General features: G+C 38.3%; 1 long non-coding RNA gene across 1 annotated transcript in view, besides 1 other annotated feature; it reads left to right on the top strand.

Annotated features, from left to right (window-relative positions):
- LOC102724465 (uncharacterized) overlaps window positions 1-27,717 on the top strand; it is a 379,687-nt gene that overhangs the window by 307,539 nt on the left and 44,431 nt on the right. The gene's annotated exons all lie outside the window — the stretch shown is intronic.
- Window positions 26,514-27,713: an enhancer, noted in NCBI's record as "CDK7 strongly-dependent group 2 enhancer chr15:87911835-87913034 (GRCh37/hg19 assembly coordinates)". NCBI's record gives its function as "activates an origin of replication core promoter dependent on BRD2, BRD4, P300/CBP, MED14 and CDK7 cofactors, with strong dependence on CDK7, by STARR-seq in HCT116 cells {active_cell/tissue: HCT116}" and the evidence as "EXISTENCE:reporter gene assay evidence [ECO:0000049][PMID:35650434]".

Here is a 27,717-nt window from a genome sequence, read left to right as displayed (position 1 = left end):
TTGTTTCTACTGAGAAATTTGCTATAATCTTATGTTTGTTCTTCTGTATGTAGTGTGTTTTGTTCCCCCACTGGCTTCCTTTTAGTTTTTCTCTTTATTTTGGATTTGTGGCAGTTGGCATTATATGCAAAATAAACACCATGTCTTGGTTTTCATTTGTTTGATATTAATTTTTCCTGCTTGGAGATTTTCTGCATTTCTTGGATCTGTGGTTTTATATTTTTTATTATTTTGGGGAAATTATTGGTCTTTACATATATTTATTAATCCCCATTTTTTTTCAATTTCTGGGAATACAACTGCATATATTTTAGGTGAATTGGTATTTTCATACAGCTCTTAGATGCTCTCATACATTTTCCTCTTTGTATTTTTGATTGCATAATTTCTATTGACTTATCCTCAAGTTTATTGACTCTTTTCTTGGTTGACTTTAGTCTACTGATGAACTCACTCAAGTAATTTATCTCTAACATGATAGTTGTTTTTTTAAGTGTTATTATTTTTAGTATTTCCACTTGACTTTTTATAGTTTCCAACTCTCTGCTGAAATTTTCCATCTGTTTGTGCATATTGTGCATATTTTACACTAGATCCTTTAACATACTAATTATAGCTATTTTAGGACCCTGCCTGATAGTTCCAACACCTGTATAATTTGTAAGTCTGATTGTATTGATTGTTTTGTCTCTTTGAAGTAGTTCTCCTTTGCCCCACCCCCACCACATAACTATTCAGGTATTCCATACTATTTCATTGAGTGACAGACATCTCATATAGAATAGCAGAGACTGAAGTGAGCAGTATTTTCACCTGTAAGTGGGCATGCCCCTTCACAGGCAGGTGAAGTGGGGTACATAGTCAACTTGGTCAGGAGTTGAGCAAGGTTTGGTTTTTCTTTGTTAGAATTACTGTCAGCACACCACAGGCTTCAAATTCTTCTCCTGATGCTTTTTTCTCATAGTGGAAGCTGAGGTGCCAGAAGATTTTTCTGTGTGCCTGTCTTCTGCTCTCAGCTTTTAGCCACAACTGTAGGCCTGTACCACAGAGCAGGGAGATCCCCTTTACCCTTCTCTAACTATATACTGTTTTTGCTTATCGCCTTGGCTTGCTAGGCTAACATAATCAATTGAAGGGCATTTATTTGGATCTAGTCTTTCCCTATCCAGATAAGCTCTATGTGCCTGAACTTTAGAGGTACAATTTCTTAGCATTTACCCTATTTTCTCTATGCCAGGTAGGAAACTCTGTCTTGTATGTTTAATAGGTCTTATCTGGGAGAGAGTTTCCTCTCCCTACCCCCGTGGTAGGAAACCTCTGTATTGGTATAAGTTTCTGGGCTGGGAACAGTTCAATATTCTTCCCGCAGAGGCATGTGCTTTTTCTCTTCATCTTTTCCCCAGTAACAATGGCTCTGTACCTGTACTCTGGTGGTGACAGTGCTGTTGCTCATTTCCCTTTGGCTCATGTGTTTTGGTCCATATGATGGAAAAGTCTGAGCATGGCTATGAATGAGGCTTTATGTTTATCCAGCAGCAGCAGCCTATCCCCTCCCCTTCTCCTCTAGGTCAGTACAATTTTGGGATGTTTCCTTCAGTTTCCTTTCTTGCCTCCAGTCTTTCTTAATGTACCTGGCGAAGATGACACAAAAGGGGCTTGTTCACCAGGTACATTAAGAAAGAGCTTGAGAGTAGATGGCAACTTCACCTGTGTCTGCAGCTCCCAGTCTTGAGCCCCACCAGTTCTAGGTCAGGAAGGACTAGTTTGAGTTGTTCTAGTAAATATGGACCTGAGGACACATTACATGAAGGAGGAACAACGTATATCAACTTTCAGAAGCATGAGAGAGCATTTTGCTTTAAGAGGACAAGCAATAGAATTACACTGAGCAGACAGTACATTTGGTGCTGGACTTTGGCTGAGACTGTGAGAAAAAAGAGGACCCATGATCCCAAATTTCAGGTTACTTGTGGTCTGGAGGTTTTTTGTTTGTTTGTTTTATTTTAATTACAAAATGTGCTTTCTGATGGAGAGGACAAATTAATAATGGAAAATAGTATAAATCTGAAGAATTCCTCTTGTGTTATGCATGGTTTGTTTGACCCCTACAAATCCTATATTGAAATGTGATCCTCAGTGTTGGAGGTGGGGCTCAGTGGAAGGTGTTTGGGTTATGGGAGTGAATCCCTTATGAATAGATTAATCCCCTGAGAGGTGAGTAGGTTCTTCCTCTAGTTGATATAAAGAGTCTGTCATCTCCAGCTCTCTCTCTTGCTTCTTGTCCCACTCTGCACATGTCTGCTCACTTCACCTTCCACCATGAGTGGAAGCTGCCTGAGGACCTCACCAGAAGCAGACTGTGGCACCATGCTTCTTGTACAGCAGCAGAACTATGAGCCAAATGAACCTCTTTACTTTTTAAGTTATCCAGCTTCAGGTAATTTTTTTTTTTTTTAAGATAGAGTCTCACACTGTCATCTGAGCTGCAGTGCAGTGGCGTGATCTCAGCCCACTGCAACCTCCACCTCCCGGGTTCAAGCGATTCTCCTGCCTCAGCCTCCCAAGTAGCTGGGATTACAGGCACCAGCCCCCATGCCTGGCTACTTTTGTGTATTTTTAGTAGAGATGGGGTTTCACTATGTTGGCCAGGCTGGTCGCGAACTCCTGACCTCATGATCCACCTGCCTTGGCTTCCCAAAGTGCTAGGATTACAGGTGTGAGCCACTGCGCCCGGCCTCAGGTGTTCTTTCATAGCAACACAGATGGTCTAAGACACCTTGAAAACTTGAAAAATTTGAATTGCAGTAATGGTAGAAGACCTCCCATTTACTTGCATTTCCTTAGTTAAATCTCTGTCTTTCTAAACAGCAAGAAGAAGTTCAGGTATCTCTCATAGTTCTTCAAAGTCTCTCTTTCGTTTTGTTATTACAGTATGTGTGGAGTCACCTAACCATCATCATCCTGTGACCTTGTGAATAGGAATTTCTGTGCTCTCTTTAAAAAGGAATAAACTGTGGCTCAGAAAGGCCCAGAAACATGCCCAACTAGTGTGTAAAGACCATGTGACCTTTCTATCCTTTTGGTTCCTCACCTGGTGAATAGGTGAGACGGGTTTTCTGGTGACAGGTACAATTATTAACACCCTTGAGTCAGAGCTATGGAGGTTTTTGGGGGGACATCAGTCATTCATCCTAGGCATGCAGTGTGAGAACTGCAGGATTGTGATATAATGCAAAACTAGAATCTAGTCTTTATTCCTCTGGTGAATAGTGGCGTTGCATGACTGTCACATTTCATACCTAGAGTCTCTACTGCTGAAATGAGATTAATTTTAGGTAACCCCATACAGGGGCTACGTGAGAAAGAACACCAGTAATGATCTGTGCTTGAAAGATGACTTTGAACCTAACATATTAATAGAATTCACAATAAGATATGGCTGTACCATGAGCTCAGCAGGATCAAGGCACTATATAAATAGGAGGCAGCATTATTTTTACAATAATTGAATGCTGCTCATATTCCGGCTCTCATAACACTTAACCCTATCCTGTTTTCCAAATTGTATGGGTGGTGATTTGCCTGGGTGATGTGTGTCATATCATTTGTGTATATAGACAATCTTCTTTGGCTGCTAGGGTTGTAAATTGCTGTGCAGAGGGATGGGAAGGTTTTAGTGCACTGTTTCTACTTACATTTGCAAGGTTTGGCTCCATCCCATCCTCTCTGGTCATTTTTCAAGGATCCAGGAAGAACATATAAAATAATAAGCCCTTTGCAATTACATGTCCTATCGATTTGTATATTTTTTCTTAGACTAGATTGCAGATATTATTTAGATACAGATACACAGACATTTATGGCAAATTATGTTAGAAGAAAACATGCTGTAATTTGAATTTGATTTTCCATGGATACAATAAGAACTTGGAATAATATTCCTAGCCAATGGGCAGAATGCCCAAATCTGCTTCATTATTTTACAAGAAAAATGAGGACCATCACTTTATTTAATAACCTGGGAATTATTTCTAATTTCTGTGAAGTTGAATAAAATGCTTCAAATTATACTAAAAATGTCCTTGTTATCTTTATATTTTACTCTGATGACAAACAAGAAAGTGAAGGGACTCTTCCCCCCGGCTCAGAAGGTTTTCTCCAGGTAGAGCTTACCTGCCAGGGGATTTTGGAGGAGATTTTAGCCTCATTTGACAGCTTTTTGGGGTAGGAGGATTGGGGGATACAAAAGACCCAAGGAGGTTTCTCATGGTATACCTGCTTTAGCTTCTTCCACATGCTCCTGCAGTAAGCCAATTGTAAACATGAAGTGTTTTGCACTTTTATCTTCTTTGAATTGTCTTTTCTGGTCTTCTGGGAGACCCCCTTTCTCAGCTCTGCCTTTTTCTATGGATTGTTTGCAACAAACGTCATCCCTGCCTTCACAGACTGCAGTGGACTTGTCCTGCTCCTAGTCCCTCAGCCTTCCATTCCTCAATCTGTGGTTAGGTGGACATGTCAAATGAAACAACACTTTTACTTCAGTGTTGGCCAAATTTCAAAGAAGCCACACAAAACCTTTCTTGCACAATCACATGATCAAAATTCTCTTTAATCTCAGCCACAGTAGGCTCCTTGACCTATGATCATGACCAAAAATATCAGCTGTTTAACTTCTTTCTTTTCTTTCATCAGGCACATGGGATGACTGAAGACATTGACTAGAAATTGGGAAGATTTATGATGATTACAGTTCTTTTGAGCAAACCCTTCAGCATTTTTGCAAAAAAATGATTTCAAGTTTGTCTTTTTCATGGGCTATACTCTTATCCTGACAACATTCAGTATTTTCAGGAGTATCTTAAAGTCCTGCTTTTCATGTTGTTTCTAAATGAGTTTGCTAACCCCAGGAAAAAATAACTTTGATTTTCAAGTGAAGATGTCCTCACTCAGATTCTTCTTTCCCTTTTCTCTCCATCCTTTTCTCCTTGCTTCACTCAGCTTGTCCTCCCTAACAGTAAAGCAAAGAACCATGTTCTGTGTCTAGTGCTGCAAGAGAGAGAGGTTTCAGAACCATCAGTTTTCATTATGAGAAGTCAGAGCAAAAGCCCGCGTCTATGAACTAGGAATCTTTGATCTTTTCTATGACTTGGCTTCAGACTCTTTTTGCCAGTGGTGGAGATAAATTCAAACTGATTTATCTTCATGCTGTTTCAGTGAGGCAATTTGTACTGTCAGGTCATTAAGAGTGGACACTGGAGAGAGAAAATTCTGACCATTAGCAATATCACCTTGAGGGATGTTTTGTAACATTTTGGTGGCTCAGTTTTCTCATCTGTAGAATGAGGCTAAAAATGGGACCTAGTTTATAATGGTCTTAGGCTGGTTATATAAACTCAGTGCTCACATTTTGAAAGTGTCCCATAAATGGCAATTTTTGTTATGGTTAAGCCATGTTTGAGATATTGCCACACATTTTCAGGAATGGTCATCGGTGTTAGGGGAGTAGGCTCAGCGTTAATGATTTTTTTGACACTGGCACCTAGTAGAGTGTCAAGTATCTAATAATTGCTCAGAAAATGATAGTTTAATATAAGGAAAAATATCTCAGGGATCAAAACTACAAGCTTGGGATCTGAATTATTTAAGATACCAATTTAGTTACAGTAACAGAGACAGATGCAAACTATCAGTGACATAAACAAGATATTATTTCTCTGCCACATAAAGATCCAAAGAGACTATCTGGGCTAGTGAATTGTTCTACAATCATCAAGGACCCAGCCTGCCTCTGTCTTGCTTTTGTCCTGCAGCTTCCATTCATGGTCCTTGAGGGCTGCATTAGTTGTTGCCATCACACCTGCATTTCAGCCAGCAGGATGAGGGGAAGAAGAGAAGAACATTCCATCTCCCTTTAAGGGTACAGGCTTAAAGTTACACAATTTACCTTTCCTTACAACCCACTCATATTGCCATGGTCATCTACAAAGTAGGTTGGAAAACGTATATTTTAGCTGGGCAGCTTCCATTCTATAAGAAAATCAGAATCTATTTTATATATGCATGGCTGGGAAAGTACCATGTCATTTTTCCTGAGAGGCCTAAGTCCCCACATTGAGCTGCACTGAGCTGTTATGTTCAGGGGCAGCTCTGGTATATGAGAAACAAGAACTCATCAGTGCTCAGCCCTTGCTCTCAAGGAAGAGATCCTAATTTAACTATTTCAGTTAATGGCATGATTTATCTTCCAATCGCCCAGATTGGCTTCCTTGGGCTCTTCCATCTCCCTCAACAACAACAACAAAAATCCAATAAGTTGCTTTGTCTCCTCTAATGCCTCTTCCATACATCTCCTCTTTTCCACTCATGCTACCACCCTAATTTAGGCCTAATTACATACCACTCAGACAATTGCAATTACATCCAAATTGGTCTCCCTTTCCCCTGTTTCTCCACTTTCTAATTCACTCTGCAATACAACTGCCAAGTTAATCTTCCCTGAATACAGCTCTGATCATCTCTGCCCTGCTTAGAACCCCTGAATATCTCCCAAATGCCTATTTCACAAAAGCCAAGGGCCTCTCTCAAGGCTCTCCACATTCTGGCTAGCGCTTACCTTTCTAGCTTGATTTATTCTTCTTCCACAGATCTCATGTTTCACAAATTGCTCCGTATTTTCTTAGGTCCACTCTTCTGCAAAGAACATTTTGCTCCTCATGGAATGTCTTATCCCCTTTCTGTGGATTAAAACCATTTCCATTCTTTACAGCTTAGTACCGGTGTTACTACTGGAGACCGTTTCCTGTAGGGAAGGGATAGTCCCCTCCCATGAACTCACTTTGGAGTTTATTTTAACTCTCGATTGTGGAATGCCTCATATGCACTTTTAATAAAACAAATCATATGCGTACAGCTCAATAGGTTTTCAAAAGGTGAATACGCCCAGGTAACCAGCACACCAATGGACTAAGAGAGTTCTAGCAGGACCTAGGATTCCCCTTATGCCTCCGTCTGTTTGCAACTTCTTTAGGCCCACATCGAAATGAACCACCATCTTGATTTCCAAAGCTACCAATCAGTTTTTACCCTGCATAAATCGAATCACACAGTCATTATCCTTTTCCGCTTATTGTCTTTCTGATTCAAGCTTATGTTCATATGATTCACCTATATTGTTACATACAGTTGTTAATAATTTAGTCTTTGCTATATAATATTCCATTGGGTGAAAATTCCGGAATTTATTCCATTGCATTGTTGATGGGTATTTGGATAGTTTCCAATTTGGAGCTATTACAAATAGTGCTGCTATCAGCATTCTACTTTGTGCGTTTTGGTGAACATAGGAATGTATTTGCTAGGATAGAAAATACAAGGTCATGGGTATGTTCTAATTTAGTTGGTAATGGAAAACAGTTTTCTAAGGTGGTTTTACCAATCAACACTCCTAACAGCAGTAAAAAGAGTTTCAGTTGTGCCACACTCTTAACCACACTTAGTATTTTCTGAATTCTTAATTTTAGCCATTCTAAAGTGGGCATTTAGTGGTATCACATTGTAGTTTTAATTTGCAATTCTCTGGTGGCTGACAAGTTGAATATCCTCTTTCGTAAAGAGTCTATTCACATATTTTGCCCATTTTTCTATTGAGATTTCTGTTTTTTTTTAAAAAAAATTCAGTTATAGGAATCATTTATATGTTCTCAGTATGAATCCTTTGTTGCTTATATGCTTTGTCAAGTCTTACATACATTCCAAAGTTATTTAAGCTCAAGAAGTGCAGAAGTAAATGTGTTTACGTGTGTGTGTGTGTGTGTGTGTGTGTGTGTGTGTATCCCATTCTATTTGAAGTGTCTGGCATAGTGCTCAACATGTAGTAGGTCCTCAATAAACAATTGGAAAATGAATGAATAATTCAATGACTACCTTATAATGCCAAGATATTATGAAAGCAAGGATCCTCTTTCATTCATTTTATTCTCCTCATCCAGAGTTGTGTTGACAGTATTTCTTTAATTAATCTCTGTCAAATAAATGACTGAATAGCTTCCAGTAACCAGAAACACGCCATTGTGTGCGAAGTTCTCCAAGGGAGAGCTCTCATGGTAGTGACCAATGAAGACCCAGTAAGCTGCTTCCTTCCTGCTGCTGGTGTGAAGGATTCTGAAATACCTTGATTACACTTGAAAAAAAAATGCTGGGGTTTTTCAGCTCATGGATAACTCCAAAAGTAGGATTTAAAAAATGCAAAGTGCCCATATGCTCAGCTCATACTGAGAAATGGTCTCAAGAGTAATTAAAAACAGTTACAAAAGCAATGGAGTTGTAACAATTGAAATATCACACACATATGTGTGCACTGAATCAGAAAACCCCATAATACTCAGTCACTGAATATTTCTGCGACTCTGAGGTTTGTGATACAGAGTGAACATCCTTATTCAATGCTTACATCTGAGAGCTGAATCACACCTCAGAGATTTCACCGGTTTTTCTAGTCCTAGCTTCTGTTTTTAAGCTGTGTGCTTTGCTTCAGCTGAAAGGCTTCAGGCTAGTGATTGTGGCTTTATGTGTTTTACCACTGCTAGTGCTCAACAACCCAATAATAATAATGACATCAGTATATTTGTGTCGCAGGATGTCTCTTTTCTTATGCAGGTGTGTGATGAAAGGTTTTTTTTTTAAATTTTTCCACTACTGCATTTAAAATAGAAACATATAATGTATATGCTGATTTCTGAATCTGATGAATTTAATTTTTGCACTCCATTCTGCAAATGACTAACCAAATAGGACGTGGAACGTAGAGGCCACAGAACAGGGGTAAAGATCTGAATACAATGATGACAAGAAAAAAATCAGAGTGGTCTTGCAGAGCTAGGAGCTAGGTGTTACAGTGAAAAATCACAAACCTATGTGCTAGAACAAAGGTTGACAGATTTCTTTTTTCTGGAAGGTGTCAAAGAGATAATATTTTTTACTTTGCAGGTCATACAGTTTTTGTTGCACCTGCTCGACTCTACTGGTGTGTGTATCAAAGCAACCAAAGACAATACATGAACTAACAAGTCTGTCTGTGTTCCAATAAAATTTTATTTACAAAAATAGGTGCTCAGTCAGATTTGGCCTTTGGGCTGTAGTTTGCTGATTCCTGATCTAGAAGATTACTACCTGATATAATTTGGATATTTGTCTCCTCCAGATCTCATGTCAAAATTTGATGCCCAGTGTTGGAGGTGGAGCCTATTGGGAGGGGCTTGAGTCCTGGGGGTGGCTCCCTCATGAACGGCTTGATGCCAGTTTTGAAGTAATGAATGAGTTCTTGCTCTATTAGTTCCTTAGAGAACTGATTGCTAAAAAGAGCTTGGCACCTCCCTCCCACCTCTCTCTCTTCTTTCCACTCTTGCTATCTGATGCTGGCTCTCCTTCACCTTCTGCCATGAGTGGAAGCTTCCTGAGGCCCTCTCAAGAAGGAAATGCTGGTGCCATGTTTCTTGTACAGCCTGCAGAACCGTGGGCCAAATATACCTCTTTTCTATATAAATTACCTGGCTTCAAGTATTCCCATATGGAAACACAAATGGATTAAGACGCTATCGATTGGTTTATGATCTTCACTTCTCTATACTTTTATCTGTAAAATGGGTCTAATGATACCTGTGCTACCTGCTCACAAATAGTAAGAATGGCCTGAGATACTGTGAAAGGCTTTTGTAAACTCATACACTCTATGGTGCTGTGCAAATGGTAGGTATTAAAAGCAGACAATTTTAGTTTGAGAAGGAGACATATTATTAATGTTTCCCAAGCCTTTTGTTTTTGTTTTTGAAATAGTAAAGCCAAGATTCAAAGAGCTTAAGATATATGCCAAGGTCTCACAGTTCGATGACAGCAGATTCCGTGTTAAAATATCATTGTAATGGATAGGAACAATAATTATAAGAGACAGTGGCTCATATAGTTACCCTTCTAAATAATATGTCCTCCCATCCCTTCATTTGGAGCATGATAGTAAATACCACTTATTTCCTCTCCTACTCAGAAGATACTCTGAGAAGCACTGAGCCTAGTTTTCTCTCCAGGGAAGAGTAACTCCCCAGAGGTATCTGAATTTAAAGATGTGATATGGATCTGAGAGTGCCTTTGTCTGCAATGTCTCCACTTTGCTCTCAGACAAGACAGATGTATGAGAGGATTACTCAAGCAGATGATTGGCCCTTTGCTCCTGGATCTTCTTGGCCATCTATAATTCAACATTTAACAATTTAAAGGTAGGAGCAATAATATCTATGGGAAATAGTGCTCAGGATTCATATACTCTCCAAATTCAGAATTTATCAAAACTGTTGGGCGAAAGTTGTTTGGCCTTTGAGGTATTCTAGATGACACCTGCTTTAGTCATTGTAGAGCAAGCTTCAGTCTTGCATAACTACTACTGCAATAGACTAGGTTATATACCCACTCCCCTGAACCTTTTCTCCAGACTTCAGGACAAGGGACGGGCTGCCCCTTTTCTATAACCATATGCCCACCTGTGAACCAACTGGGGAAATTTAGTTCATTTCTAAGATGATATCATACTAAAGGGAGCACTGAGATTTAGGCAACATGTTCTAGGTTGAGGGTAGGATTTCCGACAGGTGGGAATAACAAACCACAGTCTAGTCTTGGCTCTGCTATCAAACAAATGTTGGACCTTATGCCTGTCTTTTTCTATATGTGGGCCTTATTTTACCCAATTATACAACAAAGTGATTAGGCTAGATGATTTATAAGGTCTTCCCCCAACAAATTTTGTTCTTCTTCAACTCTACGAGTTGGTTCTGTTGGTGGTACGACTCTTGATTTATTTATAAACTGCTTTTATTGAGCACTGACTATATCCATAGAAACTTTTCCAAAAAGCCTAAATTACTGATATTAGTGAAATGCCTAAAATCCATTTGGGTAGACAAAGCAGGATATGATGTATCTGCAGTGGATGGCAAAAAAAAGTGATAAGCCAGAAATCATCGTATAGTCAAGGGAATGTTTCTTGGTAAATGTTAAGTTTTATCCAATATACAAATTGACAGCATTCAGTGACAACCATGCAGCAAAACTTTTAAAGATTGGTAGAATTTGGATATGCTGAGGAAAAGGCATGATTCAAAGGTAAACACTATCAGATTTTTTTATTTAGGAATGGTCTCATTAGAAGAGAGTATTTACGAAGGAAAATTAGAAGGTAATTTTGGGGAAATAATTTGGTATGTAAAAAAGGATATCCTTGAATACCCAAATAAGCAACTTAAGCTTATTTTCCTAGAGGCAGTGACAGTGTAAATATTTCTGGGCAGTTGAATTAATGATATAGGCCAACTTTTAAGATTATTTGACAGCAGTATATTGAATAGATTGGAAAGAAGAAAATTACATAAAGCAGGATTATTTGGGCAGCAATGGCAACAATGCGGGTATGAGGTAATGAGATGCTGATAGTGGTAAGAATAAGCAGATGTAAGAAATATTACTGATGGGCCGGGCACGGTGGCTCACGACTGTAATCCCAGCACTTTGGGAGGCCGAGGCGGGCGGATCACGAGGTCAGGAGATCGAGATCATCCTGGCTAACACGGTGAAACCCCGTCTCTACTAAAAATACAAAAAATTAGCTGGGCATGGTGGTGGGCGCCTGTAGTCCCAGCTACTCGGGAGGCTGAGGCAGGAGAATGGCGTGAGGCAGAGCTGGCAGTGAGCCAAGATTGCACCACTGCACTCTAGCCTGGGCAACAGAGCAAGACTCCATCTCAAAAAAAAAAAAAAATTACTGATGAAGAAGTCACAGAACTTGGCTGTCTTTTGGGTCTGGAACTTATGTCAAGGATTTATTTCAGGGTTTTGGGATGACAGTAACTCGATTGCCTTGCATCTGTAATTATATTATTATTTTTGTATGGATAAACTGTGAAGATTGTGTTACATTGTATGGATGTATGGATAAATTGTGAACATAGGTGTGAACATTATGTGACAATGCATTTATTTTATCCATAGACATTGCCACATAATACCATGCAGAAGAGAAGGACTCAGGCAGGATTTATTTCTCTATAAAGATTTAAGGACTATATTGATTTATAATTTGAAATGAGCTAAACCACACATATTTTTCAGGTTATTAATTTTGAGGTTATTTTTTCCTTCATCTTTACCAATATCCCACTAGTATATTGTGACTCTCATTCATAATGAGGTAACTTGGTCTGTATCATTGGTTCTGTTATTTTTTTTAAGACACAATCTTCAATTTATTTATTCTTTTGACAATTCAATATGTTTTTAAAATATTTACAGAGTTGTGTAAATATCACCATAATTAATTTTAGAAATTTTTATCACTTCCAAAAGAAACCTCATACCAATTAGCAGTTACTTGCTCCTGATGCCTATAGCCCTAGGCAACCACTAATCCAATATCTCTATCTCTTTAGATTTGTCTAGTCTGGATATTTCATACAAATAGAATCATACAATATGAGGTCTTCTGAGACTCACCTCTTTCACTTAGGATGTTTTCAAAGTTCACCTGTGTTGTAGCATGTATCAGTACTTCACTTTTTTTCTGGCCAAATAATACGCATTGCATTGCTATGTAACATTTACTTATTCACTCATCAATTGATTAATAGATTGTTTTCCCTTTTTGACTATTGCGATTAATATTGCTATAAAAATTTATGTGCAAATTTTGGTGTGTGCATGTCTTTTCATTTTTTTTGAGCATATACTTAGAAGTGGAATTTTGGGGTCATATGATGACTCCTAGCATTTGAGGAACTGGCAGGCTGTTTCCAAAGTAGATACACCATTTTGCATTCCCATCAGCATTGCATGAAGGCTTCACTTTCTCCACACCCTCACCAACACGTTATTATATATATATTTTTTATTACTATACTTTAAGTTTTAGGGTACATGTGCACAAAATGCAGGTTAGTTACATATGTATACATGTGCCATGTTGGTGTGCTGCACCCAGTAACTCGTCATTTAACAGTAGGTATATCTCCTAATGCTATCCCTCCCCCTCCCCCCACCCCACAACAGGCCCCAGTGTGTGGTGTTCCCCTTCCTGTGTCCATGTGTTCTCATTGTTCAATTCCCACCTATGAGTGAGAACATGCGGTGTTTGGTTTTTGTCCTTGCGAAGGATTTTTGTCCTTGCGATAGTTTGCTGAGAATGATGGTTTCCAGCTTCATCCATGTCCCTACAAAGGACATGAACTCATCATTTTTTATGGCTGCATAGTATTCCATGGTGTATATGTGCCACATTTTCTTAATTCAGTCTATCAGTGTTGGAAATTTGTGTTGGTTCCAAGTCTTTGCTATTGTGAATAGTGCCGCAATAAACATATGTGTGCATGTGTCTTTATAGCAGCATGATTTATAATCCTTTGGGTAAATACCCAGTAATGGGATGGCTGGGTCAAATGATATTTCTAGTTTCTAAATCCCTGAGGAATCACCACACTGACTTCCACAATGGTTGAACTAGTTTACAGTCCCACCAACAGTGTAAAAGTGTTCCTATTTCTCCATATCCTCTCCAGCACCTGTTGTTTCCTGACTTTTTAATGATCGCCATTCTAACTGGTGTGAGATGGTATCTCATTGTGGTTTTGATTTGCATTTCTCTGATGGTCAGTGATGATGAGCATTTTTTCATGTGTCCTTTGGCTGCAAAAATGTCTTCTTTTGAGAAGTGTCTGTTCATATCCTTCACCCACCTTTTGATGGGATTGTTTGTTTTTTTCTTGTAAATTTGTTTGAGTTCATTGTAGATTCTGGATATTAGCCCTTTGTCAGATGAATAGATTGCAAAAATTTTCTCCCATTCTGTAGGTTGCCTGTTCACTCTGATGGTAGTTTCTTTTGCTGTGCAGAATCTCTTTAGTTTAATTAGATCTCATTTGTCAATTTTGGCTTTTGTTGCCATTGCTTTTGGTGTTTTAGACTTGAAGTCCTTGCCCATGTCCTGAATGGTATCACCCGGGTTTTCTTCTAGGGTTTTAATGGTTTTAGGTCTAACATTTAAGTCTTTAATCCATCTTGAATTAATTTTTGTATAAGGTGTAAGGAAGGGATCCAGTTTCAGCTTTCTACATATGGCTAGCCAGTTTTCCCAGCACCATTTTAAATAGGGAATAGCACCATTTATTAAATAGTTTCCCCGTTTCTTGTTTTTGTCAGGTTTGTCAAAGATCAGATGGTTGTAGATATGTGGCATTATTTCTGAGGGCTCTGTTCTGTTCCATTGGTCTATATCTCTGTTTTGGTACCAGTACCATGCTGTTTTGGTTACTGTAGCCTTGTAGTATAGTTTGAAGTCAGGTAGTGAGATGCCTCCAGCTTTGTTCTTTTGGCTTAGGATTGACTTGGCAATGTGGGCTCTTTTTTGGTTCCATATGAACTTTAAAGTAGTTTTTTCCAATTCTGTGAAGAAAGTCATTGGTAGCATGATGGGGATGGCATTGAATCTATAAATTACCTTGGGCAGTATGGCCATTTTCACGATGTTGATTCTTCCTACCCATGAGCATGGAATGTTCTTCCATTTGTTTATATCCTCTTTGATTTCATTGAGCAGTGGTTTGTAGTTCTCCTTGAAGAGGTCCTTCACGTCCCTTGTAAGTTGGATTCCTAGGCATTTTATTCTCTTTGAAGCAATTGTGAATGGGAGTTCACTCACGATTTGGCTCTCTGTTTGTCTGTTATTGGTGTATAAGAATGCTTGTGATTTTTGTACATTGATTTTGTGTCCTGAGAATTCACTGAAGTTGCCTATCAGCTTAAGGAGATTTTGGGCTGAGATGATGGGGTTTTCTAGATATACAATCATGTCATCTGCAAACAGGGACAATTTGACTTCCTCTTCCTAATTGAATACCCTTTATTTCCTTCTTCTGCCTGATTGCCCTGGCCAGAACTTCCAACACTATGTTGAATAGGAGTGGTGAGAGAGGGCAACCCTGTCTTGTGCCAGTTTTCAAAGGGAATGCTTCCAGTTTTTGCCCATTCAGTATGATATTGGCTGTGGGTTTGTCATAGATAGCTCTTATTATTTTGAGATACGTCCCATCAGTACCTAATTTATAGAGAGTTTTTAGCATGAAGGGCTGTTGAATTTTGTCAAAGGCCTTTTCTACATCTATTGAGATAATCCTGTGGTTTTTCTCTTTGGTTCTGTTTATATGCTGGATTACGTTTACTGATTTGCAGTTGTTAACGAGCCTGGCATCCCAGGGATGAAGCCCACTTGATCATGGTGGATAAGCTTTTTGATGTGCTGCTGGATTCGGTTTGCCAGTATTTTATTGAGGATTTTTGCATCAGTGTTCATCAGTGCTATTGGTCTAAAATTCTCTTTTTTTGTTGTGTCTCTGCCAGGCTTTGGTATCAGGATGAAGCTGGCCTCACTAAATGAGTTAGGGAGGATTCCCTCTTTTTCTATTGATTGGAATAGTTTCAGAAGGAATGGTACCAGCTCCTCCTTGTACCTCTGGTAGAATTTGGATGTGAATCCATCTGGTCCTGGACTTTTTTTGGTTGGTAAGCTATTAATTATTGCCTCAATTTCAGAGCCTGTTATTGGTCTATTCAGAGATTCAACTTCTTCCTGGTTTAGTCTTGGGAGGGTGTATGTGTTGAGGAATTTATCCATTTCTTCTATATTTTCCAGTTTATTTGCATAGAAGTGTTTATAGTATTCTCTTACGGTAGTTTGTATTTCTGTGGGATCGGTGGTGATATCCCCTTTATCATTTTCTGTTGCGTCTATTTGATTCTTCTCTCTTTTCTTCTTTATTAGTCTTGCTAGTGGTCTATCAATTTTGTTGATCTTTTCAAAAAGCCCCCTCCTGGATTCATTGATTTCTTGAAGGGTTTTTTGTGTCTCTATCTCCTTCAGTTCTGCTCTGATCTTAGTTATTTCTTGCCTTCTAGTAGCTTTCGAATGCGTTTGCTCTTGCTTCTCTAGTTCTTTTAATTGTGATGTTAGGGTGTCAATTTTAGATCTTTCCTGCTTTCTCTTGTGGTCATTTAGTGCTATAAATTTCCCTCTACACACTGCTTTGAATGTGTCCCAGAGATGCTGGTATGTTGTGTCTTTGTTCTCATTGGTTTCAAAGAACATCTTTACTTCTGCCTTCATTTCGTTGTGTACCCAGTAGTCATTCAGGAGCAGGTTGTTCAGTTTCCATGTAGTTGAGAGGTATTGAGTGAGTTTTTAATCCTGAGCTCTAGTTTGATTGCACTGTGGTCTGAGAGACAGTTTGTTATAATTTCTGTTCTTTTACATTTGCTGGGGAGTGCTTTACTTCCAACTATGTGGTCAATTTTGGAATAGGTGTGGTGTGGTGCTGAGAAGAATGTATATTCTGTTGATTTAGGGTGGAGAGTTCTGTAGATATCAATTAGGTATGCTTGGTGCAGAGCTGAGTTCAATTCCTGGATATGCTTGTTAAATTTCTGTCTCATTGATCTGTCTGATGTTGACAGTGGGGTGTTAAATTCTCCCATTACTATTGCGTGGGAGTGTAAGTCTCTTTGTAGGTCTCTAAGGACTTGCTTTATGAATCTGGGTGCTCCTGTATTGGGTGAATATATTTAGGATAGTTAGCTCCTCTAGTTGAATTGATCCCTTTACCATTATGTAATGGCCTTCTTTGTCTCTTTTGATCTTTGTTGGTTTAAAGTCTGTTTTATCAGAGACTAGGATTGCAACCCCTGCCTTTTTTTGTTTTGTGTTTGTTTGGTAGATCTTCCTCTATCCCTTTATTTTGAGCCTGTGTGTGTCTCTGCACATGAGATGGGTTTCCTGAATACAGCACAATGATGGGTCTTGACTCTTTATCCAATTTGCCAGTCTGTGTCTTTTAATTGGAGCATTTAGCCCATTTACATTTAAGGTTAATATTGTTATGTGTGAATTTGAGCCTGTCATTATGACGTTAGCTGGTTATTTTGCACGTTAGTTTATGCAGTTTCTTCCTAGCCTCGATGGTCTTTACAATTTGGCATGTTTTTGCAGTGGCTGGTACCGGTTGTTCCTTTCCATGTTTAGTGCTTCCTTCAGGAGCTCTTTTAGGGCAGGCCTGGTGGTGACAAAATCTCTCAGCATTTGCTTGTCTGTAAAGTATTCTATTTCTCCTTCACTTATGAAGCTTAGTTTGGCTGGATATGAAATTCTGGGTAGAAAATTCTTTTCTTTAAGAATGTTGATTATTGGCCCCCGCTCTCTTCTGGCATGTAGAGTTTCTGCCGAGAGATCCGCTGTTAGTCTGATGGGCTTCCCTTTGTGGGTAACCTGACCTTTCTCTCTGGCTGCCCTTAACATTTTTTCCTTCATTTCAACTTTGGTGAATCTGACAATTTTGTGTCTTGGAGTTGCTCTTCTTGAGGAATATCTTTGTGGCGTTCTCTGTATTTCCTGAATCTGAATGTTGGCCTGCCTTGCTAGATTGGGGTTCTCCTGGATAATGTCCTGCAGAGTGTTTTCCAACTTGGTTCCATTCTCCCCGTCACTTTCATGTACACCAATCAGACATAGATTTGGTCTTTTCACACAGTCCCATGTTTCTTGGAGGCTTTGTTCATTTCTTTTTATTCTTTTTCCTCTAATCTTCTCTTCTTGCTTCATTTCATTCATTTGATCTTCCATCACTGATACCCTTTCTTCCAGTTGATCGAATCGGCTACTGAGGCTTGTGCATTTGTCACGTAGTTCTTGTGCCTTAGTGTTCAGCTCCATCAGGTCCTTTAAGGACTTCTCTGCATTGGTTATTCTAGTTAGCCATTCATCTAATTTTTTTTCAAGGTTTTTAACTTCTTTGCCATGGATTCAAACTTCCTCCTTTAGCTCGGAGTAGTTTGATCATCCGAAGCCTTCTTCTCTCAACTCTTCAAAGTCATTCTCCATCCAGGTTTTTTCTGTTGCTGTTGAGGAGCTGCATTCCTTTGGAGGAGGAGAGGCACTCTGATTTTTAGAGTTTCCAGTTTTTCTGCTCTGTTTTTTCCCCATGTTTATGGTTTCGTCTACCTTTGTCTTTGATGATGGTGACATACAGATGGGGTTTTGGTGTGGATGTCCTTTCTGTTTGTTCATTTTCCTTCTAACAGTCAGCACCCTCAGCTGCAGGTCTGTTGCAGTTTGCTGGAGGTCCACTCCAGACCCTGTTTGCCTGGGTATTAGCAGCGGAGGCTGCAGAACAGCAGATATTGGTGAACAGCAAATGTTGCTGCCTGATCGTTCCTCTGGAAGTTTTGTCTCAGAGGAGTACGCGGCCATGTGAGGTGTCAGTCTGCCCCTACTGGGGGGTGCCTCCCAGTTAGGCTACTCGGGGGTCAGGGACCCACTTGAGGAGGCAGTCTGTCTGTTCTTAGATCTCCAGCTGCATGTTGGGAGAACCACTCCTCTCTTCAAAGCTGTCAGACAGGGACATTTAAGTCTGCAGAGGATTCTGCTGCCGTTTGTTTGGCAATGCTCTGCCTCCAGAGGAGGAGTCTACAGAGGCAGGCAGGCCTCCTTGAGCTGCAGTGGGCTCCACCCAGTTTGAGCTTCCCAGCTGCTTTGTTTACCTACTCAAGCCTCCTCAATGGTGGGTGCCCCTCCTCCAACTTCGCTGCCACCTTGCAGTTTGATTTCAGACTGCTATGCTAGCAATGAGCGAGGCTCCATGGGCATAATACCCTCAGAGGCATGCACAGGATATAATCTCCTGGTGTGCCGTTTGCTAAGACCGTTGGAAAAGCACAGTATTAGGGTTGGAGTGACCCGATTTTCCAGGTGCCATGTGTCACCCCTTTCTTTGACTAGGAAAGGGAATTCCCTGATCCCTTGTGCTTCCCAGGTGAGGCGATGCCTCGCCCTGCTTCAGCTCATGCTAGGTGCGCTGTACCCACTGTCCTACACCCACTCTCTGACACTCCCCAGTGAGATGAACCCGGTACCTCAGTTGGAAATGCAGAAATCACCTGTCTTCTGCATTGCTCACGCTGGGAGCTGTACACTGGAGCTGTTCCTATTTGGCCATCTTGGCACCACCCTCCATATGTTTTTTATTATAGTCGTTATAATGGGTGTGAAGTGGTATTTCACTGTGGTTATTATTCACATTTTCCTGATGGCTAATGTTCTTAAGTATGTTTTCATGTGCTTATTGGCCATTTGTATATCTTCCTTGGAAAAGTATCTATTTATGACCTTTGTCCATTTTTATATTGAATAATTTATCTTTGCATTATAAATTACATGGATTTTAAAATTATATTCTAGATATCAGTATGTGATTTGCACATATTTTCTTTCATTTTCTGGGTTGTATGTTTATTTTTTGTAGTGTCTTTTTAAGAACAAAAGTTTTTGGATCTGATGAAGTCAAATTTATTCATTTCTTTTTCTTTCATTACTTGTCCATTTGGCATCCTATCTAAGAAGGCTTTGCCCAACTCTAGGTCCAAAAATGTACTCATATGTGTTTATTTTTATTTTTAATTTTTAAGTTCGGAGGGTTCATGTGCATGTTTGTTACATGGATCAATGGGGTTTGGTGTACAAATGATTTCTTCACTCAGGTAGTGAGCATAATGCTTGATGGGTAGGGTTTTGACCCTCACCCTCCTCCTGTGCTGCACTCTCAAGTAGTTCCCAGCATCTATTGTTGCCTTCTTTCTGTGCATCTGTACTCAATATTTAGCTCTCATTGACAAGTGCAGATGTGGTACTTGATTTTCTGTTCCCACATTAATTCACTTAGGATAGTGGTCTTCAGCTGCATCCACATTGGTGCAAAGGGTACAATTTTATTCTTTTTTGTGGCTGCATAGCATATCATGGTGTATAGGTACCAAATTTCCTTTATCTAGTCCACCATTGATGGGCATCTGGGTCAATTCCATTTCTTTGCTACTGTGAATGGTGTTGTGATGAACATACGAGTGCATGTGTCTTTTTGGTACAGTGAATTACTTTCCTTTGCATATATGCCCAGTAATGGGATTGCTGGGTAAAACTGTAGTTCTGTTTTAAGTACTTTGAGAAATCTACAGACTGCTTTCCACAGTGCCTGAACTAATTTACTTTCGCACCAGCAGTTTATAAGTGTTCCATTTTCTCTGCAACCTTGCCAATGTTTTTTATTTTCTGACATTTTAAAAATAGCCATTCTGAGGAGTATAACACAGTATCTCACTTTGGTTTTGATTTACATTTCTCTGATGATCAGTGATGTTGAAGATTTTTTTCACATTGTTGTTGGCTATGTGTATATTTTCTTTAGAGAAGTGTTTGTTCACGTCCTTTGCTCATTTTTCAGTGGGATTGTTTGTCTTTTGCTAAAGTTCGTTATTAACTTAAGCTCAGATTCCGGATATTAGATCTTTGTCAAATGCATAGTTTGCAAATATTTTCTCCATTCTATGGGTTGCCTGTTTACTCTGTTGAGTTTCTTTTGCTGTGCAGAAGCTGTTTAATTTAATTAGGTCCCACTGCTCTATTTTTGTTTTTGCTGCAATTGCTTTTGGAGACTTCATTATAAAATCTTTGCCCAGGCCTATGTACAGAGTGGTATTTTCTAGGTTTTATTCTAGGGTTTTTAGTTTCAGGTCTTACATTTAAATCTTTAATGCACCTTGAGTTGATTTTTATATATGGTTAAAGTAAGGGGTCCAGTTTCAATGTTCTACGCATGGCCAGCCAGTTATCCCAGCACCGTCTATTAAATAGGGAGTCCTTTCCCCATTGCTTGTTATTGTAGACTTTTTCAAAGATCAGTTGGTTGTAGATGTAAAGCTTTATTTCTGGGTCCTCTAACCTGTTCCATTGGTCTATGTGTCTGTTTTTGTACCAGAATCCTGCTGTTTTGGTTACTGTAGCCTTGTAGTATAGTTTGAAGTTGGGTAGTGTGATGCCTCCAGCTTTGTTCTTTTTGCTTAGGACTATTTTGGCTATTTGGGCTGTTTTTTAGTTTCAGATTAATTTGAGAACACTTTTCTAATTCTATGAAATGTGAAATTGGTGGCTTGATAAGAATAGCACTGAATCTGTAAATTGCTTTGGCCACTGTGGCCATTTTAACAATATTGATTCTTCCCATACATAAGCATAGAATGCTTTTCCATTTGTTTGTGTCATCTCTGATTTCTCTCAGCAGTGCTTTGTAATTCTCATTGTAGAGACCTTTAACCTCCTTGGTTAGCCATATTCCTAGGTATTTTATTCTATTTTTAGTTATTATGAATGGAATTGCATGCTTGATTTGGCTGTCAACTTGGATGTTATTGGTGTATAGAAATGGTACTTATTCATGTACATTGATTTTGTATACTAAAACTTTATTGAAGTTGTTTATCTGTTCAAGGAGCTCCCCAAAGGCAGACTACGGGGTTTTCTAGGTATAGAATCATATCATCTGCAAAGAGAATTTGACTTCCTCTCTTCCTATTTGATTGCCTTCTTTTGCCTGATGGCTCTGGCTAGGACTTCCAGTACTATATTGAATAGGAATGGTGAGACTGGGCATCCTAGTCTTGTTCTGGTTCTCAAGGGGATTGCTTCCAGCTTTTGCTCGTTCAGTATAATGTTGGCTGTGGGTTTTTCATAGATAGTTCTTACGATTTTAAGGTAGTTTGTCAAAAGTTTTTAATATGAAGGGATGTTGAATTTTATCAAAAGCCTTTTGTATGCCTGTTGGGATGACCATGTGGTTTTCATTTTTGGTTCTATTTACATGATGAATCACTTTATTGATTTGCATATGTTGAACCAGCTTTGCATCCCAGGAATAAAGCCTACTTGATCGTGGTGGATTAGCTTTTTGATGTGCTGCTGGATTTAATTTGCTACTATTTAATTGAGGATTTTTACATCTATGTTTATCTATGTTTATCAGGGATATTGGCCTGAAGTTTCCTTTTTTTGGTTATGTATCTGTCAGGTTTTGGTATGGAAATAATGGTGGCTTCATAGAATGATTTAGGGAATAGCCTCTCCTTTTTGAGGGGTGGGGAGGGATGGGGATAGTTTTAGTAGAATCAGTACTAGCTCTTCTTTACACATCTAGTAGAATGTGGCTGTGATTTCATCTAGACCACAGCTTTTTCTGGTTAGTAGTTTTTTATTACTGTTTCAATTTTGGAACTTGTTATTGGTCTGTTCAAAATTTCAATTTCTTCCTGGTTCAATCTTGGGAGGTTTTATATTTCCAGGAATTTGTCCATTTCTTCTTGGTTTTCTAGTTTGTGTGCATAGAGATGTTCATAATAATCTCTAAGGTTTTTTGTTTTTCTGTTGGTTGATGGTAATGTCAGCTTTGTCATTTCTGATTGTGTTTATTTGAATCTTCTCTCTTTTTTTCTTTAATAATTAGGCAGCAGTCTATCAATCTTATTTAGTCTTTCAAAGATCCAATGTTTTTGTTTTATTGATCTTTTGCATAAATTTCTGCATCTCAGTTTGGTTCAGTTCAGCTCTGATTTTGGTTATTTCATTTCTTCTGCTAGTTCTGGGGTTGGTTTACTCCTATTTTTCTAGTTCCTCTAGATATGACATTAGGTTGTTAATTTGAGATCTTTTTAACTTTTTTAAATGAGTGTTTAGTGCTATAAATTTTCCTCTTGAATGTTATATAGTGTTAAATGCCTACATCAAAGATAATTCAAGGATACTGTGAACACCTTTATGCACACAAACTAGAAAATCTAGAGGAAATGGATACATTTCGGAAAACATACAACCATCCTAGATTAAATCAGGAAGAAATAGAAGCCCTGAACAGACCAATAGCAAGTAGTGAGACTGAATCACTAATAAAGAAAAATTGCCAACAAAAAAGTCCAGGACCAGATGAATTCACAGCTGAATTCTACCTGACATTCAAAAAATTGGTACCAATCCTGCTGAAAGTATTCTCAAAGATTGAGAAAGAAGAATTTCTCTCTAAATCATTCTGTGAAGCCAGCATCACCATAATACCAAAATCAAGAAAGGACATAAAAGAAAATAATAGATCCATATCACTGATTAACATAGATGCAAAGATCTTCAAGAAAATACTAGATAATTGAATCTAATAGTGCATCAAAAAGATAGTACAATATGATCAAGTGGGTTTTATCCCAGGGATGCAAGGATGGTTTAACATACATAAGTCAATAATTTTGATACATCACATAAACAGAATTAAAAACAAAAACCCTATGATCATCTCAATAGATGCAGAAAAAGCATTTGATAAAATATAGCATTCCTTTATGTGAAAAGCCCTCAACAAAGTAGGCATAGAAGGAACTTACCTCAAAGTAATAAGAGCCATATATGACAAACCCACAGCCAACATAATACTGAATGGGAAAAAGTTAAAATCATTCTCCCTGAAAACTGGAAGAAGATAAGGATGCCCACTTTTACCACTTCTATTTGGCATAGTACTAGAACTTCTAGGCAGAGCAATCAGGAAAAACAAATAAATAAAGGGCATCCAAATTGGAAAAAAAGAAGTCAAACTGTTGCTATTTGCTGATGATATGATCATGCACCTAGAAAACCCTAAAGACTCATCCAAAAGGCTACTAGATCTGATCAATGAATTCAGTAAAGTTTTAGGTTACAAAATCAATGTAGAAAAATCGGTAGCACTGCTGTGTACACCAACAACAACAAATATGGGAATCAAATCAAGAACTCAATCCCTTTTACAATGGCTGCAAAAATAAAAAATAAAATACCTGAGAATATACTTAACCAAGGAGGTAAAAGATCTCTACAATAAAAACTACAAATGGAAACACATCCCATTCTCATGGATAGGAAGAATCAATATTGTGAAAATGACCATACTGCCCAAATCAATCTACAAATTCAATGTAATTCCCAGCAAAATACTATCATTTTTCACAGAGCTAGGAAAAATCCCTGAAATTTATATGGAACCAAAAAAGAGCCCACATAGACAGAGCAATAGTAAGCAAAAATAACTAATCTGGAGACATCACATTATTGGACCTCAAATTATACTACAAGGCTATAGTTACCAAAACATCATGGTACTGGTATAAAAATAGGCACTTAGACCAAATGTAACAAAATAGAGAACTCATAAATAAAGCCAAATACTTACAGCCAGCTGATCTTTGACAAAGTATGCAAAAATGTAAATTGGAGAATGAACTCCCTATTCAATAAATTGGCTGGGAAAACTGGCAAGCCACATGTATAAGAATGAAACTGGATCCTCATCTCTCACCTTATATAAAAGTCAACTCAAGATGGATCAAAGACTTAAATCTAAGACCTGAAATCATAAAAATTATAGAAGACAACATTGGAAAAACTCTTCTAGACATTGGCTTAAGTAAAGAATTTATGAATAAGACCCCAAAAGCAAATGACACAAAAAAATAAATAAATGGAACCTAATTAAACTAAAAAGCTTCTGCACAGCAAAAGAAATAATCAGCAGAGTAAACAGACAACCCACAGTCTGTGGGAGAAAAATATTTACAAACTATGCATCTGACAAAGGGCTAGTATCCAGAATCTACAAGGAACTCAAATCAGCAAGAAAAAAAAAAAAACAATAATCCCATCAAAAAGTGAGCAAAGGACATGAATAGACATTTCTCAAAAGAAAGATATACAAACAGCCAACAAACATGAATAAATGCTCAACATCACGAATCATCAGGGAAATGCAAATTAAAACCACAATGAGATATCACCTTACTCCTGCAAGAATGGTAATAATAAAAGAGTCAAAAAACAATAGATGTTGGCATGGATGTGGTAAAAAGAGAACACTTTTACAATGCTGGCGGGAATGTAAATTAGTATAATCAGTATAGAAAACAGTATGGAGATTACTTAAATAACTAAAAGTAGATCTACCATTCACTCCACTACTGGGTATCTACCCAAAGGAAAAGAAGTCATTATATGAAAAATACATATGTATATGCACGCTTATAGCAGCACAATTCACAATTGCAAGAATATAGAACCAACCTAAGTGCCCACTGACCAACAAGTGGTTAAAGAAAATGTGTTATTTTACACCGTGGACTACTATTCAGCCATAAAAAGAAACAAAATAATGTTTATTGCAGCAACTTGGATGGAACCGGAGGCCATTATTCTAAGTGAAGTAACTCAGTAATGGAAAACCAAATAACATATATGCTCATTTATAAGTGGGAGCTAAGCTGTGAGGATGCAAAAACGTGCAGGGTGATATAATGGACTATGGGGACTTGGAGGAGGAAGGTTGGGAGGAGAGTGAGGAATAAAAGAAAATATATTAAATACAGTATACACTGCTCAGGTGATGGATGCACTAAAAATCTCAGAATTCACTACTAAAAAACTCATCCATGTAACCAAAATCCACCTGTACCCCCAGAACTATTGAAGTTTTTAAAAAAATTATACAAAAAATCCTTTCCTCTTAATACTGCTTTAGCTGTGTCTCAGGGATTCTGGAAAGTTGTATCTTTGTTTTAATTAGTTTCAATTTTTTTTTTATTTCTGCCTTAATTTCATTTTTTTAACCCAAAAGTCATTCAGAAGCAGGTTGTTTAATTCCCATGCAATTATATGGTTTTGAGTTGTTTATCTGCTATTGCTATACATTTTTATTGTCCTGTGGTCTGAGAATGTTGTTGGTATGATTTCATTTCTTTTAAATTAGTTAAGAATTGCTTTTCCACCAAGCATGTGGTTGATCTTAGAGTATGTGCCATGTGCAGATGAGAATAATATGTATTCTGTTGTTGCTGGGTGGATTATTCTGTAGATATCTCTTAGGTTCATTTGGTCAAGTGTCAAGTTTTGGTCCTGAATATCTTTGTTAGTTTTCTGTCTCATGATCTAACATTGTTAGTGGGATGTGAGGTCACCCACTATTATTGTATGGTTATCTAAGTCTCTTCATAGGTCTCTAAAGCCTTGTTTTATGAATCTTTATACTCCAGTCTTGGGTGCATACATATTTAGGATAGGTAAATCTTCTTTCTGAATTGAAACCTTTATCATTATGTAATGCCCTTCCTTGTCCTTCCTGATGATTCTTGGTTTAAAGTCTATTTTGTCTGAAATAAGAATAGCAACTCCTATTCTCTTTTGTTTTCCATTTGTTTGATAGATCTTTCTCCATTCCTTTACTCTGAGCTGGTGGGTGTCATTGCATGTGACATATGTCTCTTGAAGACAGCATACAGTTTGGTCTTGCTTCTTTATCCAACTTCCCACTCTATGTCTTTTAAGTGGGGCATTTAGCCTGTTTACATTCAAAGTTATTATTGATTTGTAAGGGTTTGATCCTATCATTGTGTTGTTAACTGATTTTTATGTAGACTTGATTGTATAGTTGCTTTATAAAGTCACAGAGCTGTATACTTAACTGTGTTTTTGTGGTGGCAGGTAATCATCTTTCATTTCCGTGTTTAGCACTCCATTAAGGACCCCTTGTAAGGCAAGTCTGATGGTAGTGAATTCCCTTAGCATTTGCTCATCTGAAAAGGTTTTTATTTCTCCTTCACTTATGAAGCTTAGTTTAGCTAAATGTGGAATTCTTGGTTGGAATTTCTTTTCTTTAAGGATGCTTAATGTAGGCCCTCAATCCCTTCCAACTTGTAAGATTTCTGCTGAAAGGTCTATTGTTAGCCTGATGGGGTTCCTTTTGTATTGACCTGCCTCTTCTCTTTAGCTGCATTTAAGATTTTTTTCTTTCAAATTGACTTTGAAGAATCTGATGACTATGTGTCTTAGGGATGGTAATCTTTTGTAGTATCTCACAGGGGCTCTCTGAATTTTTGTGGACAATATCCTCAAATATGTTATCCAAGTTGCTTACTCAGTCTCCTACACTTCCAGGAATGCCAGTGAGTCATAGGTGTGGTCTCTATGTAATCTCACATTTCTCAGAGGTTTTGTCTGTTTTTTAAAGTTCTTTTTTATTTTTTTCTGCCTGCATTGATTTGAAGTAGTGGCCTTTGACTTCTGAGATTCTTTCCTCAGCTTAGTCTATTCTGTTATTAATGCTTCTAGTTGCATTCTGAAATTCCTATAGTGAATTTTTCATTTCCAGAAGTTCAGCTTTGTTTTTCCATAAAATGAATATGTTGCTTTTCAGCTCTGTGACCATTTCACTGTTTTTCTTTGATTGTGTTTCAACCTTCTCCTGTATTTCAGTGAGCTTCCTTGCCATCCACATTCGGAATTCTGTATCTTTTATTTCAACCATTTCAGTATGGCTAACAACCATTGATGGAAAGCTAATATATTCTTTTGGAGGTAAGAAGATACTCTGGCTTTTAGAGTTGCCAGGGTTCTTGTACTTGTTATTTCTCATCTCATCTTTGTGGACTGATGCTTCTTGAATCTTTTAAGTTGCTGTCTTTTGGATGGGGCTTTTCACTTTTATATTATTTGATGTCCTTGAAGGTTTAGTCAGTTGGCTTCATTTCTGGATACTTGCAGGAGGCCAAGACTCAGCTTAGCACTCCTGGACTGTGTGTTCTAACCCTGAGGGGATGAAACCAGGCCTGCAGCTTTGTTCTCTGGCTCCTCAAGATTAAGCACCAGCTGTGCTGGAGGGCTCCAGGTGTTTCCAGTCCACTGGCAACAACACTGCAACTGGGGCTGCCAGAAAAAGCACTCTGGTGTGGTGTTGGTGGGTCCAAGTG

Source organism: Homo sapiens, chromosome 15, assembly GCF_000001405.40.
Source record: "Homo sapiens chromosome 15, GRCh38.p14 Primary Assembly".
NCBI lineage: Eukaryota > Metazoa > Chordata > Mammalia > Primates > Hominidae > Homo > Homo sapiens.
The sequence above is the reverse complement of the archived record's forward strand: the minus strand, read 5'-3'. Positions and strand labels throughout refer to the sequence as shown.